The sequence below is a fragment of the Homo sapiens genome, chromosome 2, assembly GCF_000001405.40.
Source record: "Homo sapiens chromosome 2, GRCh38.p14 Primary Assembly".
NCBI lineage: Eukaryota > Metazoa > Chordata > Mammalia > Primates > Hominidae > Homo > Homo sapiens.
In genome coordinates this window covers 201,717,538-201,738,042 of record NC_000002.12, presented here as the reverse complement: position 1 = coordinate 201,738,042, position 20,505 = coordinate 201,717,538, and the positions used below count along the sequence as shown (strand labels likewise).

The window sequence follows — 20,505 nt, the reverse complement described above, 5'->3', positions numbered from 1 at the left end:
AGGCATGCACCACTGTGCCAGGCCAAAAATTCTGTATTTTAATAGAAAATACTTTAAATATGTACTTACCACCCAGATTTAGCAGATGTTAATGTTTTGCCATGTTTGCTTTTTTTTTTTTGAGACGGGGTCTCGCTCTGTCATCCAGGCTGGAATGCAGTGGCGCAATCTTGGCTCACTGCAACATCTGCCTCCTGGGTTCAAGCAATTCTCCTGCCTCAGCCTCCCAAGTAGCTGGGGCTACAGGTGTGCACCACCACCCCGAACTAATTTTTGTACTTTTAGTAGAGATGGGGTTTCACCATGTTGACCAAGCTGGTCTCAAACCCCTGACCTCAAGTGATTCACCCACCTCGGCCTCCAAAAGTGCCGGGATTACAGGCGTGAGCCACCATGCCCAGCCCCATGTTTGCTTTTGATTTTTTATCCTAATAGAAGGAATGCTAACATTCTCATCTCATTTCTAGTTTTAATGAGAATACTTTTAATATTTCACCATTAAAAATGATTACTTTAGGTTTTTGGTAGATATAATTTATAGGGTTAAAAAGGCCCTATTTCTAAAAGTTGTAGAGGAATTTTTATAATGTTAAATATCTGAGTTTCCAAATTCCAAAATTCAGTAATCTTAATGTATTAAGGTTTTAATACATTGCTGAATTAAATTTACTTATACAGTTGTCTCTTGGTACCCATGAGGGATTGACTCCAGGACCTCCCAAAGGAAACCAAAATTCAAGGATGTTCAAGTCCCTGATATAAAATGGCTTAGTATTTGCCTATAACCTGTGCACATCCTTTCATATATGTTAAATCATCTCTAGATTACTTATAACATCTAATAAAATATAAATGCTATATAAATAGTTGTAATATGGTATCGTTTAGGGATTAGTGACAAAAAAGTGGTAGAAACATAATTTTTTTATGAAATATTTTTGGTCTGAGGTTGTTGAATCTGCAGATTTGGAACTCACAGATATGGAGGAGCTTTTTCTCCTTTTCTGTTTCCTGGAAGTTCATAGTTTATATGAAGTAGGAATTATTTGTACTTTGAAGATTTAGTAGAATTCATCTGTAAAAATAATCTAGGTTTCATGGGGGCATTTGCTGTAGGGAGTTTTTACTGATTTAATGAATAGGTATGTTCAGGTCTTTATTTCTTCTTATGGCTTTTGTTATTTATATTTCTCTGGAAAATTGTTCATTGCACCCTTGTTTTAAAGCTTATTGGCATAATGTTCCTACCATAGTCTTAAAATGATTACACCAGAATAACTGTAGTTGTACCCCCTGTTTCTCATTCTTACGATTATTCATTTGGGCCTTTTATCTTTTTTATCTTGATCAGTCTTGTCGGCAGTTTACCCCTTTTTAAATTAATTTTTTCAAAAATTAGGGAATCATTTCTTTCGCTTTTAAAAAATTTCATTAATTTCTGCTTTTTATTTCCTTCTACTTTCTTTTTGTTCACCTGTTAACTTCTTAACAACTTCTAGTTTAGCACTTGGTTCATTAATTTTTCAAATTTAAAATTTTTCTAATGTAGCCATTTAAGGCTATAAATTTCCCTCTAATTGTTGCTTTAGCTGAATCTTACAAGTCTTAGTACGTTTTGTTTTTATAGTCATTCAGTTCTAAATATTTTCGAAAGTATTTTTCTAATCCATTATGAATTATTGGACTCACATGCTTGTTGATTTCCAAAATATAGGGGTTTGGCCTTTATTTTTTTAAAATGACAGTTTCAAGAATATGTCTTTAACCTTATGTAGTAACTTTAAAATTCTTGATCTTAATACACCACAATTTTCCATTCTTTTACTTTCAGCCTGTCTGCATTGTTTTGATATATTTCTTATAAGCAGCACATGGATGGACTTATTGTTTGTTGTTGTTGTTGTTTACATTTGAGAACTTCTGGTTTTGACAAGTTTACATTTGTAATTACTGATTTTATATTTATTATTTTAAATATCTTTATTATAATGAATAAAATAGCTTAGTTAACCTATAATGTTGGTGAAATGCTGAATCATAGCCAAAGAAAATAGGAGAAAATGGGGCTGTAGCCAAACCAATAATTAAATGGAGCAGAAAGAAAATTCAATAGTTATTTTTGCAAATAGTAATGCTTGAAGAAAAGCAAGTTTAATTACAGGAAGATGCAAAAAATAGATGGAGACTTGTGACAGTTTAAATGGAAAGCTTCTGGGCTTCCTGAAGGGCTACAGCAGTTACTGACCCTGGTTCCTTATTCTGCTGTTGTTGACCTTCCTCTGGTATTTCCGAGTTAGATTCACAGTACTGAAGAATTGACCTTGTTAGAGCAGAAAAATGAGATGACATAAGTTGAAAGCCTCTTGCCTTTTGCACAGCACCATGCCCAGAGCCTGGGTTTTACATAGTTAAAGGCAGCAATGACATCTTTTTCCAACTTCTGTTTACAAAGTCAATATTTAAAATTACCGTAAAGATTTCATTTTCAGAGGAGAGTTTGAGAATGTCTAAAGCACAGCTAGGCTGCCCACATGGCTGTTAGTGGATCTTGGATGATGATGCACAAGCACTTATCATTCATCTAATTGATCACTCAGCTGCTCACATCAGGCTTGCCTGGTGGTTTGATTATTATGCAAGTTTTTTTCCTAATGTGATAAAATATATGTAATGTCATATTTATCATTTTAATCTTAATTGTACACTAATAAGTGTACAATTTAGGGGGCATCAAATACATTCGCAATGTTGTATAACCATCACTATTTTTTCATTATCTCTGAGAAAAACTCAGTGCATGATAAATAATAACTCCCCCCATACTGTCTCCCCCTGCCTGCCTGGCTCTGGTAACCTCTATTCTACTTCCTCTCTGTTTGAGTTTGCCTGTTCTAGGTACCTTATATGAGTCGAATCACGTATTTATTTGTCGTTCTGTGTCTGGCTTATTTCTTTAAGTATAGTATTTTCAAGGTTCATTCATGTTGTAGCATACGTCAAAATTTCATTCCATTTTATGGCTGAATAATATTCTCTTGTATGTACACATTACCACATTTTATCAATCAGTTCATCTGCTGATGGACACTTAGGTTGTTTCTACCTTTAATATTTTTTTATTTTAAAAATCTGAGTAAAAAGTACAGACCTTGCCATATAAGGAAAGAGTGATATTGCCACTATTAGATTAAAAACTCCCAAGAAAAGATAAGCTGATCAGAGATGGTTTCTGGTTCAGATTTCTTAGGAGTGTAGCTTGGCCTCTTTCGGGGAAGATTATAGGTAAGGACATGAGTGAGTCCTGGAAAGTAATGGAGTTCACAAGAGTTGGAACATTTCTGGTCTACTGTAGACTGGGTACTGGGTATTGAGGAGAAATATGGTCCAAGGGAGTTTGTGTTCACTATATCTTACCTCCGTCTCTCAGGAGCAGGTCAAAGCAGAACACTTGTGTAAAATTAAATAAGTCCTCAGCTGATCTCTGCAGTAGAACGTGGAGAAAGAAGTAGGAACATTAGCACCAGCCAAATATAAATAAAATCTGGGCACTTTATCTAAGATCTTTTTTTTTTTTTGAGACAGGCTGGTCACCCGGGCTGGTGTGCAGTGGCACAACCACGGCTCACTACAGCCTCAACTTCCTGTGCTCAAATGATTCTCCTGCCTCAGCCACCTGAGCAGCTGGGACTACAGGTGTGCGCTTCCATGCCTGGCTAATTTTTGTATTTTTTGCAGAGACAGGGTTTCATTATGTTGCTCAGGCTGGTCTCAAACTTCCGGGCTCAAGCTATCCACCCACCTTGGCAGCCCAAAGTGCTGGGATTGCAGGTGTGAACCACTGCACCCAGCTCACCAACTCTTACTGCTTTACCATTAAGTATTTTGGTTTGGTGAGCTAAGCCTGAATGGGTTATTGATCAGCATTAAAATTTGGAATAAAATTTTAACAATGAATTTATTAAAAACTGAATATTAGCTAATTTTTGGCTTCAGTTTGAAATGCTTTTGAAGATCTCAGCATTGAAATCTTCACATATAATCATCTTTATTGTTTCTTGTTAACTGTAATACTAGTTCTTGCAGCTTTTTATTACTTTCCTATAATAAACTCTTGTTAGGTGATCAATAATTGAAGGAAAAAAGAAGAAATTAGAAGTGTTTTAATATCCACACTAATTCTGTTGGAGCAAGGAGCTTTGCTTTTTCTTCCAGTGTTTCTATTTAGCACAGCTGCCTAGAACAATTAGTCTTGCCATTTATTGCTGTGACTTTTGGCTTTGAAATTAACAGGTAATGGTGTCAGCTGGTCTCTGATTATTCATCTTAAATTGTTGGATGCATGATTCATTTCCTAGAATATAGGCACAAGTCTGTGATTAACCGTTTGTATTGCTACCATTTGCTACTTTTCATACTAAAAATCCTGTCTTATAGATAGGGAAATTCTTTTAATTATATCTGGCTTATTTCATTGTATTTCTACTTTCACAGCACCTAAAAAATGTGCATTCTGAAAGAGGTACTTTCTAGTGAAATTTTTTATTTAATGTACATATTACCAATTCCAAAATGATTAACTAAATTTTTTTTTCCTCTGCCTCTAGTGATTTCCTAAATAAAAACCAAGAGCTGTTGCAAGATTTGTCAGAAGTGAATGACGAAAACACTCAGTTGATGGAAATACTGAATACTTTGTTTTTCTTGCCAATCAGACGACTTCATAATTACGCAAAAGTTTTGCTAAAGCTTGCTACTTGTTTTGAAGTGGTAAGCTCCCATGTATACCTCTTTGGACATTTGGAAAGCCAAGGATCATAGTTGTTTGTATGGATTATGCCACCACAAGATCTGGAACTCCAGTAATTTAATATTTACCTGTGTCTAATTAAATTTAATTTTCTTCAGGGAAATGACAGAGGAAAGTATGACTGTAGATAAATTGAGTTTTCTGTGGATTCAGTTTCCCTTTAGGGCCTTATCAAGATGAATAAACTGTATTCATTTTATGAAACTGTCTAAAGTTGAGACTCTATCAGATGCTACTCATTCAGTAGTTGTCAAAATTTATTGGATGCATGCTGACTATGAGTTAAACAGAGCTCTTTAAAGCCCTGGCTTTCTGTATAATGGCATACACCTGTAAGGCAGGGGTGTTACCCAGCCTGGATTCATGCTAGACTTTATGCCAGGTGTTTAGGTTACCTTAGCAAATGCTGAGAGGAATCAGTTACAGGATTTTCTCAAATGTTAACTAGTCCACCCTTACATAAAACTAGTTAGGTGGAATCCTAGGAAGTTAGCACCACACTAGGATATAGATGTATGTTAAAACTGGTCCTGAGACATTCACCTTTCAAATCCCATCGAAATATGTGATTTCATTTTGTTTCTACCCTGAAAGGCTCTAGAAAAATTATAATGACTCCAAAGTCCCTTATAGGTTTTTTTTATTGTTGTTGTTGTTTGTTTGTTTTTGAGACAGAGTCTCGTTCTGTCACTGGGGCTGGAGTGCAGTGGCGCAATCTTGGCTCACTGCAACCTCCACCTCCCAGGTTCAAGTGATTCTCATGCCTCAGCCTCCTGAGTAGCTGAGATTACAGGTGTGTACCACAACACCGGCTACTTTTTTTTTTTTTTTTTTTTGTATTTTTAGTAGAGATGGGATATCACCATGTTGGCCAGGCTGGCCTCGAACTCCTGACCTCAAGTGATTGGCCTGCCTTGGCCTCCGAAAGTGCTAGGATTACAGGCATGAGCCACCACGCTGGCCCCTTGTAGGTTTAGAATCCTCTTAATCTTTGGGTCTGTCTCTTGATCTAAACAGATTTCACCCCTCAGAGTGACCCAGGAACTGATTGATGTAGGCTTTCTACATTTGAGCCTGCTGTGAAACCAGACTAAAGAAAAGACCTACAAGGTCTTTAAACTGATCTAGCTTTAGCTGTGAAGGTTTGACCTCTCAAATATCCCAATGAGATACAGCTTTCACCTCAATATGGCCTCAATTAATAAAAAAATTTTCCACCAGATCAGCTTAGAATTGTTGAGAGTCAGAGTTCAGTTTCCCTGGATGTAGCTTTCATATGCTTTATATTTCCTTCCTGAAACACTCCCACTCCCATCCTCATTCTGGGACAAAAGTCATTTTATCATGAAAATAAAGCCCTCTTTGACTATATTGGTTCTCTTTCACCTATCCATCTCTGAAGGATTATTTACTCTGTGTTTTGCTAACACTTTCTTTCTCTATTATTCACTTCTCATGTTATATCAATGGCCCTTATCCTTATCACAGGGGTTCAAAATCAACTGTGGAAGCTTTTTCAAAACAAAACCTGCCTGTATTCCATCACTATACGTTATAATTTAGTAAGTCTAAGGCACAGCCTTGACGTCATATATGTGTGTACACATATATGTATTTTTTTAAATGTCTCCATATAAAAATAATGATGATACTTTTATTGAATGAATTCTATATGCCAGGCACTGTTCTAAGCAAGTTATATGTATTCATATATACATATAACTTTAATCCCCACATCAACTCGGTGAAGTAGGTATTATTATTATTACCGATTTCATCATCAGCCTTTTACAGATAAGAGAATTGAGACACAGCTGAGAATTGGCAGAGCTAGAATTAATATCCAGGCTCTGGTTCCAGAATCTGTCCTCTTAACCTACTTTCCTAGATTGTCTTTTATGATATATAACCTATTAACAAAACCACTGCATTATTCTGGTACATTTTTTATCTTGTCTAATTATGGTACAAAGATCATACCTTATTTTTTTTTCCCTAGCACTCTAGCAGAATGTTTTATATGTGGTAGATACTCATTAAATGTTTCTTAAATGAATGGAAAAAATGAAAATGAGTGACTCTCAGAATTGTAGCAAGTAAAGTAATTACTCATAAACGTGAGAGATCATCCTTTGATCTTACCTTCTGCTCCCTCGCTACATGGTGTAGCGGTTACACCCATCCCAGTAGTTGTTTCTCAAAACTTGGTTTGCAGACCCCTGGGGCTTCCAAAGACTATTTCAAGGGGTTCACAAGGTCAAAACTATTTTCATGACAATACTAAGATATTTGCCTTTTCCACTGTATTGTCATTTACACTGATGGTGCAAAAGTTAAGGTGGGTAAAACTGCTGGCTCCTTGGTAGGAATCAAGGCAGTGGCACCAGACTATACTAGTAGTCACTGCGTTCTTCACTGCCATGCAGTTGCAGTTAAAATACAATTTCGCTTAAGAATGTCCTGTTATGTGTGGTGACATGCAAAGTACATGTAAAGCAGCTCTGCTGCATGCTGAAGTGTGGCAGTTTTTCAAGAAAAAGCATGACTGTGATAGTTGAGTTGAGAGCTCCTCTTGAAATAAATGGGTTGCTTTTTTTTTTTTTAAACTTGAAAGGACAATTGACAGATAAACTGATTTTTCAGATTTGGATATTGGCAGATATTTTCTCAGAAATGAGTAAATGAACCTGTCATTTCAAAGAGAACAACTGATAGTATTTGTTGCCAATAATAAAATCTCAACTTTTAAGCGAAAATTAGAATGTTAGAGATGGATCTGCCACTGTGAGTCTGACAGTTTCCTGATACTTAGGACTTTATCTCATGAGATTGGTAGTTCTATTATCCTGTGATTTTTGATGTTATAGAAAAAAAGGTATCAACATTTGGAAAATCTGCATAATTCAGTCAACCGATATTTTCCATATGTCCAATCCACAATCATAGATGGTACAAAGCCATAGATGGTAAAAGACCCATTCAAAGTGCATGATAGACCCCTGGATTTTAACATCACAGGGTACAAAAAGCTCATTGCTGTGGTTTCAGATTCTACATTGCAGCTCCCTTTAAGAATCTACCACATAGCAAGTTTTAATATAGTATCAAAGGAGAATATCCACATTTATTTGAAATGGCTATTAAAATGCTTCCCTCTATTCCAGATATATACCTTTATAAGGCCACATTTTCTTCATAGGTTTTAACCAAACAACATATAACAGATTAAATGCAAAAGCTGATATAAAAGTCCAGCTGTCATTTTTAAAGCCAGATAATAAAGAGATTTGAAAAAATGTGGACCATTGCCACTTTTCTCACAAAAAAAGTTGTTTTTTTTTTTTTTTTTTTTTTTTGAGACGGAGTCTCGCTCTGTTGCCCAGACTGGAGTGCAGTGGCGCATCTCGGCTCACTGCAAGCTCCGCCTCCCGGGTTCACGCCATTCTCCTGCCTCATCCTCCCGAGTAGCTGGGTCTACAGGCGCCCGCCACCACACCCGGCTAATTTTTGTATTTTTTTAGTGAATACGGGGTTTTACCGTGTTAGCCAGGATGGTCTTGATCTCCTGACCTCGTGATCCGCCTGCCTCGGCCTCCCAAAGTGCTGGGATTACAGGTGTGAGCCACCGCGCCCTACCATTAAAAAATTTTTGTAAGTGAATTAATAAAAGCTTCTAACATTTCTTAATTTTATGTTCTAATATGGTAAATATCAATAGATACAGTCCACATAAGAAAAATAAAGGGATCCCGAGACCAAAATATTTGAGAACTCCTGCTCTATCCTGGGGTCTCTGCTGCTCTATTCACTAACTGCCAGGTTTTGTCTCTGTCACCTGAGTTATGCCCCTATTTCATATGTACTTTTATGTAGTAGAATTTTTCTGAAACCAATCTCCTTTTCCCAGTCTCCTGCAGTGTGCTACTTATGCTCGTGGGCTGAATTTTCTCCTACATTTAATACTATATGTCTAAGGCAGACTGAGGCTACAGATTCTGCATAATGGTTTTATGTTCTTTTTTTTTTTTTCCTCTTTAATTTTTGCCCTGTAGGCATCTCCAGAATATCAGAAACTGCAGGATTCCAGTTCTTGTTATGAGTGTCTTGCTCTCCATCTCGGCAGGAAAAGGAAGGAAGCAGAATACACACTGGGCTTCTGGAAGACCTTCCCCGGAAAAATGACGGTAAGCCATGCCAGTTGTCATTTGTTACCCTAGCAAACAGCAACCATTTCGATAACAATTGATACAATTTTCTCTGTTCCTCACTTGTTTGTGGTAATAACCTTTTAATGACCCCTTTCCTAAAATGTCTAAGGACCATACTAATGGGTACTCTAAATACCTTCTCTCATTTCTAGAAATCCTCTCTGAAGACTTACTCACCTTCTTTAGTTTGTTTTTGTCTTCTTTTTAATCTCCTTTGAGCTCTAATTTTGTGAAGTGTTTAGATCCCATATAAATTTAGATTTTACACCAAGCTAAGCTACGACCAGCAAATTCCCTTAAATGTGATTTGTGTCTGTTTTATTTTCTCTTTACATGTTAAAATAATTTTGATTGTTTGACTTGTATTATATTTGTCTTTAATTCCAGGATTCCTTGAGGAAGCCAGAGCGTCGACTGCTGTGTGAGAGTAGTAACCGAGCCCTGTCTCTGCAGCATGCTGGGAGGTTTTCCGTGAATTGGTTCATTCTCTTTAATGATGCCCTGGTCCATGCCCAGGTAGGCTGGATTCCTAACCTTAAAAGAATTCCTGAAAGGTGGACCCCTATCCTTATTAACTGTACTATCAGTTTATGTTCAAAACTAGTGTGATTTTACTGAAACTGTTGACTAAAAGAGGCTAGCCATCATTCTCAGCAAACTATAGCAAGGACAAAAAACCAAACACTGCATGTTCTCACTCATAGGTGGGAACTGAACAATGAGAACACTTGGACACAAGAAGGGAAACATCACACACCGGGGCCTGTCGTGGGGTCGGGGGAGGAGGGAGGGATAGCATTAGGAGATACACCTAATGTAAGTGACGAGTTAATGGGTGCAGCATACCAACATGGCACGTGTATACATATGTAACAAACCTGCACATTGTGCAGATGTACCCTAGAACTTAAAGTATAATAATAATTTTTTTTAAAAAAGAGGCTATTTTAGCTACAGCATGGATTTCTGTATGCGTTGGATTTCAGAGAACTTCTTAAGTTTCCAGCTTGAGAATGAGTGTCAGCCATGTGAAGAGGGCCCTGCAGCAGAGATGGCAAGGCCCTTTGGGTTAGCTGTGTTATGGGGACAATGTGGCAGAATTGGTGGCACCTACATGGGCTTAACTATTTCAAGGGGTTCTGCAGCAGAGACTGCAAGGCCCATGTGGGTTAATGACATGAAGGGGATATGGGCAGAGTCCCCGAGGTCTACATGGGCTTTCATAAAAGTGCCTCCGTGTTCTCTGTTTCAGTTCTCCACGCACCATGTTTTCCCTCTGGCCACGCTGTGGGCAGAGCCACTGTCTGAAGAAGCTGGTGGTGTGTAAGTGCGTCCCCCCTCCCCACCCCACCCCGTCCAAGTCTGTTACCCAGGTTGCTTCCTTAAATGTGAAAAAAAGCTCAGGAAGGCTTCGGAGACAGTCTCCTCATTCTGTATAATGAGGCCCACCTCTCAGCACATTAGACAGTAAAGTAGTCTATTGATAATAAAATGGCCTGTTGTGAAGATCATGGCAAGTCACGATTAGGTGATGAAAGGGCATCTTCATTGCACACATCCCCATCGTTCAGCACAGAGCAGAGAATTCTTTGTTCTTTCCACCGTGGTGGCGCCCAAAACCAAGCAAGCATTTACATTAATTGATTTCTGTTCCTCTTGAAATAAAGAGGTTGCTTTTCATATTTGAGGATCGATACTGTAATGACAGGTTGTTAAATGTCCTGGTATTTATCCTTGTGAACGTTTTAGGAATGGCTTAAAGATAACTACACCTGAGGAGCAGTTCACTCTCATTTCATCTACACCCCAGGAAAAGGTTAGTCTATTATGGTATTTTCCTTCAATCTTCGCCCTGGCTCTTTCTGCCTCTTGTGTAATAAAGAAGAAATATAAATTGTTCTTGCTTGACTAATGATGCACAGTTCTGTCTGATAAATCTTCATTAACCCAAAACTGTAGGTTCTTCATTGTTTTTTTTTTTAATGTGACTTAATTTTAAACATATAGCAGAGAAATACAAGAGCCAGTCAATATTACTCTATTAATAAGAAAAGCATTAGGACACAAATAATTTATTCACACCAAAGAAAACTAGCAGGATTTAAAGCAATGCTTGATGAATTGTTGCCTTAAACTTATTGACGTTACTTTTTGCTCCTAGACAAAGTGGCTACGAGCTATAAGCCAAGCCGTAGATCAGGCTTTGAGAGGGATGTCTGATCTCCCCCCTTATGGAAGTGGTAGCAGTGTTCAGAGACAGGAACCACCCATTTCACGCAGTGCCAAATATACTTTCTACAAGGATCCTCGCCTAAAGGATGCCACCTATGATGGACGCTGGCTTTCAGGGAAGCCTCATGGCAGGTGAAAATGTTGAAGATTTATGCCTGGGGTGAGGATGATCATCACATGATAGAAAAAGTATTAATTATCTGAAATATTAGTTGACATGCATTATTCTTTGCTTATGCATTCCAGAGGGGTTTTGAAGTGGCCTGATGGAAAGATGTATTCTGGCATGTTCAGGAATGGCTTGGAAGATGGGTAAGAAAATTGTGTAAAACATGACAGTAAATTCAAGTTCGGTAAGGTCGTAAATTATGTTATTTTGTATGCAGAGCTGCTTTTCAAACAAGTAGTAGATTTTTGTTGTTATTTTTTAGAAATGCACATGTATGAGCATGAAGAGAGCCAGGAGTGAGGGGTACAGCCTCTGATTTACCTAGACTGGGTCATTTTCCCTGATAGCCGTGTGACCTCAAATTACACAGCCTTCCATCTGTTAAAATGGGGCTATGTTTTCTATTCATTTCTCAGTTGTGAAGACTGAGATCTTTGGTAATGTTAATGGTGGGACTATTGAGATGGTAGTCCTCCTTTACACAAAGGACATAGAAAAATTTTCCTTTCAGTCGTTTTAAGTCATCTTTAATTTCTGTGATCTGTTAAAGGAGAAATTTTCCAAGTGCTATATTATCTCAATGATGCTCTAATGACTTTTTAAAAATAAGTTTATCATGTTTTCTAACACTGTAAATGTATTTACATGATTAGTTTATGGCAGTATTTTGTATAATGTTAAGGAAGTAATTTAGTATATAAAAAATGTTGGGTAGGTGATTTTGTGTGTCTGTGTGATCATGTAAATTCTTGTGATGTGTTAAAATCTCTTTTTAATAGATTGTTAGAATGAGAAGAGACTTTAGATCATCTAATTTACCCACTGAGTTGCCCCTCTTATTATCCAAATAAAGGAGCTAGATACCTGGGCTTACCGCATGGTGGTGCAGGTAATTAGTGACAGAGATAGGTGAAGGACACAGGTCTTCTGTTTTTCACTGGAGTTGGATTAAAACACCATATCTTAGTGTAGTGGGGCTGATGTCCCACTCCTCTTGCCAAACAGCTTAGGTTATAGATTCACCTTAAACCAAGATGCTGTTTTAACCCTTTACTCCTACAGGTGAATGTTTTCTCTGTCTTCCTTGTTAAAATGTTTACCAGGATATACATACAAAAGGTGAATATGTCATAAATGCATCTTCTTTTGTTATTTTTTCTTTTTCATGGCAGGTATGGAGAATACAGAATCCCAAACAAGGCAATGAACAAAGAAGACCATTATGTGGGCCATTGGAAAGAAGGAAAAATGTGCGGTCAAGGAGTCTACAGGTAACATTGGAAAGGCTGTTGGACTGGTGTTTGTTTTTCATATAACCATGTAAACCTGAATGTTTGCATAGCCAAAATTTCCAAGTTTTAAGTTTTGTTTAGTCTTATAGATAAAATTTAGAGGAGTAAATAAAATTGAAACTCTGTGTGATCATCTTTTAAAGGTTAACCCCTCATCTATCGCAGGATTAAAATACTGGATTATTAAATTTAGTTCTTATCTAAATTTTTTTTTTTTTTTTTGAGATGAAGTCTCGCTCTGTCACCCAGGCTGGAGTGCAGTGGCGCAATCTTGGCTCACTGCAAGCTCTGCCTCCCAGGTTCATGCCATTCTCCTGCTTCAGCCTCCCGAGTAGGTGGGACTCCAGGCGCCCGCCACCACACCCGGCTAATTTTTTGTATTTTTAGTAGAGACAGGGTTTCACCGCGTTAGCCAGGATGGTCTCGATCTCCTGACCTCGTGATCCACCCGCCTCGGCCTCCCAAAGTGCTGGGATTACAGGCATGAGCCACCGCACCCAGCCCTAAATTTTATATACCTTATAAACCATAATTTTATGAAAAAATGGTCTTATCTATAATAAGACATATAGGATTCTAATGGACAAAACTTTTATTCTTCCCTCTTAAAAATAACTCATTATTTCATTTTCCCATAAGAGAATAAAAACACATTGTTTTTCATGTTAATGCAAAATACCACACATGGTGTCTTTAACTTTTTAACTTTAATCATTCGAAAATGAGGTTTTTTTAATTGGTGAAAAATAATCATATAAACAAATAATTATAGCTACCAGTGAGACTGAGTATGGTTTTGGATTTTCTAAACTTTGTAAAAATGAGCATCAGAATTCAATGTGCATGTGATAATTATCCATTCTTTCCAACCACAGCTATGCTTCTGGTGAAGTATTTGAGGGCTGTTTTCAAGATAATATGCGTCATGGTCATGGTCTTCTACGAAGTGGGAAATTGACGTCCTCTTCTCCTAGTATGTTCATTGGCCAGTGGGTAATGGATAAGAAAGCAGGATATGGTGTCTTTGATGATATCACTAGGTACAGTATTCTCCTTCTATTCCCACAGTTTAAGCCAATGATTAAGCACCATCATTATTTAACAAGCAGTTTATACTTATTTTGTCTTTTTCATGGAGATTAGTAAGATTTCTTTGAGTTTGAGTAGGTGAAAAATGAACCTTCTTTTATGACAAACCCTTTTATTTACTTTTTTATTTTTTGAGACAGGGTTTCACTCTGTCACCCAGGCTGGAGTGGTGCGATCTCAGCTCACTGCAATCTCTGCCTCCTGGGTTCAAGGGATCCTCCTACCTCAGTCTACCAAGTAGCTGGGACCACAGGCACACACCACCACGCCCAGTTAATTTTTTGTATTTTTGGTAGAGATGGGGTTTTGCCATATTGTCCAGGCTGGTCTCGAACTCCTGGCCTCAAGTGATCCACCTGCCTTTGCCTCCCAAAGTGCTGGGATTATAGGCATGAGCCACCGAATCCAGCCTCTTTCTTTTTAAGTTAGCAAACTTTTGTGTAAGAAAAACCTGTGCATAGGTTTTATTCTGCTTATTACATTTTAAATGAAATTATTTAGAGTTGAATTCTAGACCTTCTTTTTAAAAATTATGTATTTTAAAGTTACCAAGTAACTACCTGGGATATATACAGATCTGTGTCAGACCACAACATTAAATTCCTCAGAGAGGATTACTGAGTGAGATGTCTTTTGCTATCACTTTGTCCCATATTTGAGGAGACAAAGTTAACTATTTTAACTAGAAAAATGGAAGCAATACCAACCTAGGGTTGATGCCTGGGATCTCCCATGTGATAATTGTCTTTTCCCTACTTTATCCTTATCTTCAGTGCTTTTTCTTTTCTTTTTATTTCTGTGCAGGGGGGAAAAGTATATGGGAATGTGGCAAGATGATGTGTGTCAAGGGAATGGTGTGGTGGTTACCCAGTTTGGATTATACTACGAGGGCAACTTTCACCTTAATAAAATGATGGTGAGTGGAATATTTGCATGTAGTTATTACTAACTTTTTAAAGCTCCTTTGTCCTTAACTTTTTAAATCATCTTTTGATTAGTTTCCACCTTCTTAGTACTATTTTCCTTCTTTTAAGATTCCATAAGGCTTTGGGGATATGACTGCGTGCACTCTTAAGTTACTCTGTATTTTATGTGTTGTAATTTTTCTCTTGTTTCTTCTTGTAGGGAAATGGGGTTTTGCTTTCCGAAGATGATACTATCTATGAAGGAGAATTTTCAGATGACTGGACTCTTAGTGGAAAGGTTGGAAACTAGCTTTCTTTTTTTTTCTCCCTAATAAATTCTTTTACTAATTTTTTTTTACTTTAAAAATAGCTGATTTACATGCCATAAAATTCACCCCTTTCAAGTGCACGTTTCAGTGATTTTTGGTCAACATGGCTGTACAAACCACCACCACAATCCAGTTTCAGAACATTTCCATCGCCCAAGAAAATCCCTTCTGCTCATTCAGTGACTTCCATTTCCACCTAAAGTCCCAGCCAACCACTAATCACCCTTAATCACTCTATAGATTTGCCTTTTTTGGGCCTTTTGTATAAATGGAATCATACATGCAATCTCCTCTATGTGGCTTCTTACACTTAGTATAATGTTTTTGTTTTTTCCATATTGTGGCATGTATAGTATTTGTTCCTTTTTATGGCTGAATAGTGTTCCAAAACTACATTTTGTTTATCCTTTTACCAGTTGATGGACATTGGGTTATTTCCAACTTTAGACTATTGTAAATAATGCTGCTATAAACTTTTGAATGCAGTTTCTTGTGTAGACATATGTTTTCATTTTCATTTCTCAAGTAGATGCCTGGAGTGTAATTGCTAAGTTGTATGGTAAATTGATGTTTAACATATTAAGAAACTGTCGAACTTTTTTCCAAAGTGTCTGTACCATTTTACATTCCCATCAGCAATGTCTGAGGATACTAATTTCTCCATATCAAAAAATATTTCTTATTTTCTGTCTTTTTTCTTATAGCCATTCCAATGGGTATGAAGTGGTATCTCCTGGTTTTAATTTGCATTCCCTAGTGACTAATGATGTAGAACATGCTTATTAGTGATTCATATATCTTCTTTGATGAAATGTCTATTCAGATCTTGGCCTATTTCTAAAATTTTGTTTGTACTCTTGTTGAATTGTATGGGTTCTTTCTGTATTCTGGATACATGTCCTTTATCAGATATGATTTGTAAATATTTTCTTGCAGTCTGACTTGTCTTTTATTTTCTTAATAGTGTCTTTTGAAATAGAAAAGTTTTTCATTTTAATAAACTCTATAAAAAATTTTATGAATTATGCTTTTGATGTTATGTCTAAGAAGTCTTTGCCTGTTGGCTCAAACCTGTAATTCCAGCACTTTGGGAGGCCAAGGCAGGTAGATCACGAGGTCAGGAGATCAAGATCATCCTGGCAAACATGGTGAAACCCCATCTCTACTAAAAATACAAAAAATTAGCCAGGCGTGGTGGCGGGCACCTGTAGTCCCAGCTACTCAGGAGGCTGAGGCAGGAGAATGGCGTGAACCTGGGAGGCGGAGTTTGCAGTGAGCCGAAATCGTGGCACTGTGCTCCAGCCTGGGTGACAGAGCGAGACTCCGTCTAAAAAAAAAATGAAAGTTTTATAGTTTTGCCTTTTATATTTAGGTCTGTGATTCATTTTAAGATAACTTTTGTATATGGGCTGAGTTATGTGTCCAAACTAATCTTTTTGCATATGGCTATCCAAATTTCCCAACACCTTTTCCCATTGAATCTTGGCACCTTTGTTGACCAGAAAATGTGTTTATTTCTGGTCTCTCAGTTACATTTCACTGATAAACATGTCTCTCCTTGTGTTAATACCACACCATCTAGATTACTGTTGATTCCTAGTAAGTTGTGAAATCAGGAATATAAGTCCTCCAAATTTGTTCTTTTTCAAAATTGTTCTGGCCAATCTAGATTCTTTGACTTTTCATATAAATTTTAGGACTGGCTTATCAAGATTCTGCAATAAACCTTGCTAAGATTTTGATAGAGATTGCATTGAATCTATAGATTAATTTGGGGAGAATTGCCATCTTAATATTGACTCTTCAACCCATGAACATAGAACACCTCACAGTTTATTTACATCTTTAATTTCTCTTGGCAATATTTTCCAGGTTTCAGTGTACACATCTTGCATTTCTTTGGTTAAATTTATTTCTAAGTATTTTATTGATGCTATTGTAAAGCGTTGTTTTCTTAATTTCATTGCTATAATATAAAAATGCAGTTGATTTTGTATTTTGTTCTTGTTTCCTGAAATCTTGCTGAATTCGTTTATTAGTTTTAGTGGTTTTTTTTGTGTGTGGATTTCTTAGGATTTCTTACATACAGAATCATATCACCTACAAGTAAAGACATTTTTGCTTCTTTCTTTACAATATGGAAGGCTTTTATTTCTTTTTCTTGTCCAGTTGCACTGGCTAGAGTCTCCTGTGGAATGTTGAATAGAAAAATGTTAAGATTGGACATCTTTACATTGTTTTCTATTTTAGAGAAAAGCTTTGTGTGTGTGTGTTTGTGTGTGTGTGTGTGTGTGTGTTGAGATAGTGTCTCACTCTGTCACCCAGGCTGGAGTGCAGTGGCGTGTTCTCAGCTCCCTGCAGCCTCAACCTCCTGGGCTCAAGCGATCCTCCCTCCTCAGCCCCCCAAGTAACTGGGACTATAGGCACATGCCACCATGCCTGGCTAATTTTTTTTTTTTTTTTTTTTTTTTTGTAGAGACAGAGTTTCGCTATGTTGCCCAAGCTGGTCTCAAACTCCTGAGCTCAAGCAATCCACCCACCTCGGCCTCCCAAAGTGCTAGGATTACAGGCATGAGCCACCATGCTTGGCTGAAAAGCATTTTTTGTTAAAGTGCTTTTCCATTATCTGTTGAGATGATCATGTGGTTTTTATCATTTATTCTACTAATATGGTGTATTATATTGGTTGCTTGTCTGATGTTAAACCAACCTTGCTTTCCTGGGATGAATTGTACTTGGTCATGGTGTATAATTTTTTTTATATGTTGGTGTTGCTGGATTTAATGCGAATATTTTGTTGAGGATTTTTGCATTCATATTTATGAGAGGTAATGGTCTGTAGTTTTCTTTTATTGTGATGTCTTTGTCTGTCTTTGATATCAGGATAATTCTGGCCTCATAGAACAAGTTGGGAAGTGTTCCCTCCTCCCCTATTTTCTGAAAGTTTGCGAAGCTTTGGTATTATTTCTTCTTTGAATGTTTGGGAGAATTCACCAATGAAGTCTTCTGGGCCTAAGCATTACTTTGTGAGAAAATTTTTAATTTCTAACTCAGTTTCTTTACTTGCCTTAGGTCTATTTAGATTTTCTATTTCTTATTGAGTCAGTTTTGGTACTTTTTGTCTTCCTAGGAGTTTTTCTATTTCTCTATGTTATCTACTTTGTTGGCATAAAGCTGTTCTCTTAGTATTCCATTCTGTCTTCGTATGTTTGTGATGCTTTAACAAAATGTCATAGACTGAGAAATTTATTTCTTCACAATTTTGCAAGCTGGGAAGTCGAAGATCAAGGCTACAGCATTCCCTGTTTGGTGAAGGCCTTCTTGGCTGAGGCCTCACATAGCAAAAGATGGAAGGGCAAAAAGGCCTAAGATAGTTCCCTCTGGCACTTTTATTTTTATTTTTATTTTTATTTTTATTTTTTTCGAGACGGAGTCTTGTCTGTCACCCAGCCTGGAGTGCAGTGGCATGATGTCAGCTCACTGCAACCTCCACCTCCTGGGTTCAAGCGATTCTCCTGCCTCAGCCTCCTGAGTAGATGGGATTACAGGCACGTGCCACCGTGCCCAGCTAATTTTTGTATTTTTAGTAGAGACGGGGCTTCACCATGTTGGTCAGGCTGGTCTCGAACTCCTGACCTCATGATCTGCCCACCTTGGCCTCCCAAAGGGCTGGTACTACAGGCGTGAGCCACAGCGCCCAACCCTCTGGCCCTTTTCTAAGGCACTGCACCATTCATGAGGACACTGTCCCTAATCACTTCCCAAAAGACCCCACCTCTTACTACCATCACAGTGGGGTTTAAGTTTCAGCACAGATTTTAGAGGAGACACACTTTCCAAACAATAGCACCTTCTAACTTTTTTAATTCTATAGGCTGGTAGTAATAACCTGTTTCACTCTTGATTTTAGAAACTTATGTTTTCTCTTTTTTTTCTTGATTAATCTAGTTAAATGTCAATTTTATATATCTTTTCAAAGAAGCAACTTCTAGTTTCATTGATTTTTCTTTATTTTTTGTTTTCTATCTCATTTACTGATTTTTGCACTAATCTTTATCATTTCCCTCCTCTTTCCTGCTTTGGGTTTAGTTTGTTAGTTTGTTCCTCCTTTTGTAATTTTATTAGGTGGAATTTTACATTACTGATTCGAGAACTTCCTGAAAAGATAGGTGTTAACAGCTAAAAGTTTCCCTCTAAGCACTGCTTGTAATTTACATCATCCCCTAAATTTTGATATATTGTATGGTCATTTTATACAGTTCAAAATATTTTTGACTTTTCCCTGTGTGTGTGTTTTTTTCTTTTACCCATGGATTATTTTCATATACTCTTTTAGACATGCATGTGCCCATATTTTGTTTGAGTTTTAAAGAGTTGGAGACTGGTAAAGAGCAAGTTAAAAAGGAAAACAACCATTTAGTGCTTTTTTTCTCTTGATTTTAAAAATTGAGGGCTGGGCGTGGTAGCTCATGCCTGTAATCCCAGCACTTTGGGAGGCCAAGGTGGGTGGATCACTTGAGGTCAGGAGTTCAAGACCAGCCTGGCCAACATGGTGAAACCCCGTCTCTACTGAAAACACAAAAAATTAGCTGGGCGTGGTGGCGGGCGCCTGTGATCCCAGCTACTTGGGAGGCTGAGGCAGGAGGATCACTTTAACCCAGGAAGCGGAGGTTGCAGTGAGCCAAGATCGCATCACTGCACTCCAGCCTGGGCAACAGAGTGAGACTCTGTCTCTAAATAAATAAATGAATATTGAATATATTTCCTCTAACCCCACATTTTATTCTCTGACTTTACCTAGGGAACACTGACTATGCCAAATGGAGACTACATTGAAGGTTATTTTAGTGGAGAATGGGGATCTGGGATAAAAATCACTGGAACCTACTTCAAACCTAGTCTATATGAGAGTGATAAAGACAGACCTAAAGTTTTGTGAGTAACTAGTGTTAATTCTGGATTAATTATTGAATGTTTGGAGTTGTCTTGCTTTTATCAAAGCTGGTTAATATTTTAAAAGCAAAGTCAAGTTCTTAAAGTCTTCTTTTTTATTTTATTTTATTTTTATTTTTTGAGACAGGGTGTCACTCTGTCACCAGGCTGGAGTGCAGTGGCATGATCATGGCTCACTGCAGCCTTGACCTCCTGGGTTCACGTGATCCTCCCGCATCAGCTTCCCTAGTAGCTGGGACTACAGGCACCCGCTACCATGCCCGGCTAATTTTTCTAATTTTTGTAGAGACTGGGTCTTGCTATTGCTCAGGCTGGTCTTGAACCTGAGCTTAAGCGATCCTCCTGCCTCAGCCTCCCAAAGTGCTGGGATTACAGGTATGAGCCGCTGCACCTGGCCAAAGTCTTTTTTTTTTTTTTTTCTTAAACAAGATGTAACCTCCTTGAATTGTCAACTGACACTGCTTTAGATGACTAAATCTGTAGTCTTGTCTGTAGTCTTGGTTTAGATTATAAGCCTTAAA

The 20,505-nt window shown here is 37.6% G+C and overlaps 1 protein-coding gene across 9 annotated transcripts in view; it reads left to right on the top strand.

Annotated features, from left to right (window-relative positions):
- ALS2 (alsin Rho guanine nucleotide exchange factor ALS2) overlaps nt 1-20,505 on the top strand; it is an 80,667-nt gene that overhangs the window by 42,891 nt on the left and 17,271 nt on the right. For 8 of the 9 annotated variants that reach the window (NM_001410975.1, NM_020919.4, XM_006712654.4 and 5 more), the window contains 12 exons: nt 4,605-4,767; nt 8,860-8,991; nt 9,403-9,531; nt 10,268-10,338; nt 10,765-10,831; nt 11,177-11,379; nt 11,494-11,559; nt 12,589-12,687; nt 13,584-13,748; nt 14,602-14,713; nt 14,923-15,000; nt 19,833-19,966. In NM_001410975.1, the coding sequence (NP_001397904.1) occupies nt 4,605-4,767; nt 8,860-8,991; nt 9,403-9,531; nt 10,268-10,338; nt 10,765-10,831; nt 11,177-11,379; nt 11,494-11,559; nt 12,589-12,687; nt 13,584-13,748; nt 14,602-14,713; nt 14,923-15,000; nt 19,833-19,966 (1,419 nt within the window). Of the gene's footprint in view, nt 1-4,604; nt 4,768-8,859; nt 8,992-9,402; nt 9,532-10,267; nt 10,339-10,764; nt 10,832-11,176; nt 11,380-11,493; nt 11,560-12,588; nt 12,688-13,583; nt 13,749-14,601; nt 14,714-14,922; nt 15,001-17,914; nt 18,058-19,832; nt 19,967-20,505 lie in introns of those variants that run through there. The other variant, XM_047445241.1, reaches the window with a different exon arrangement.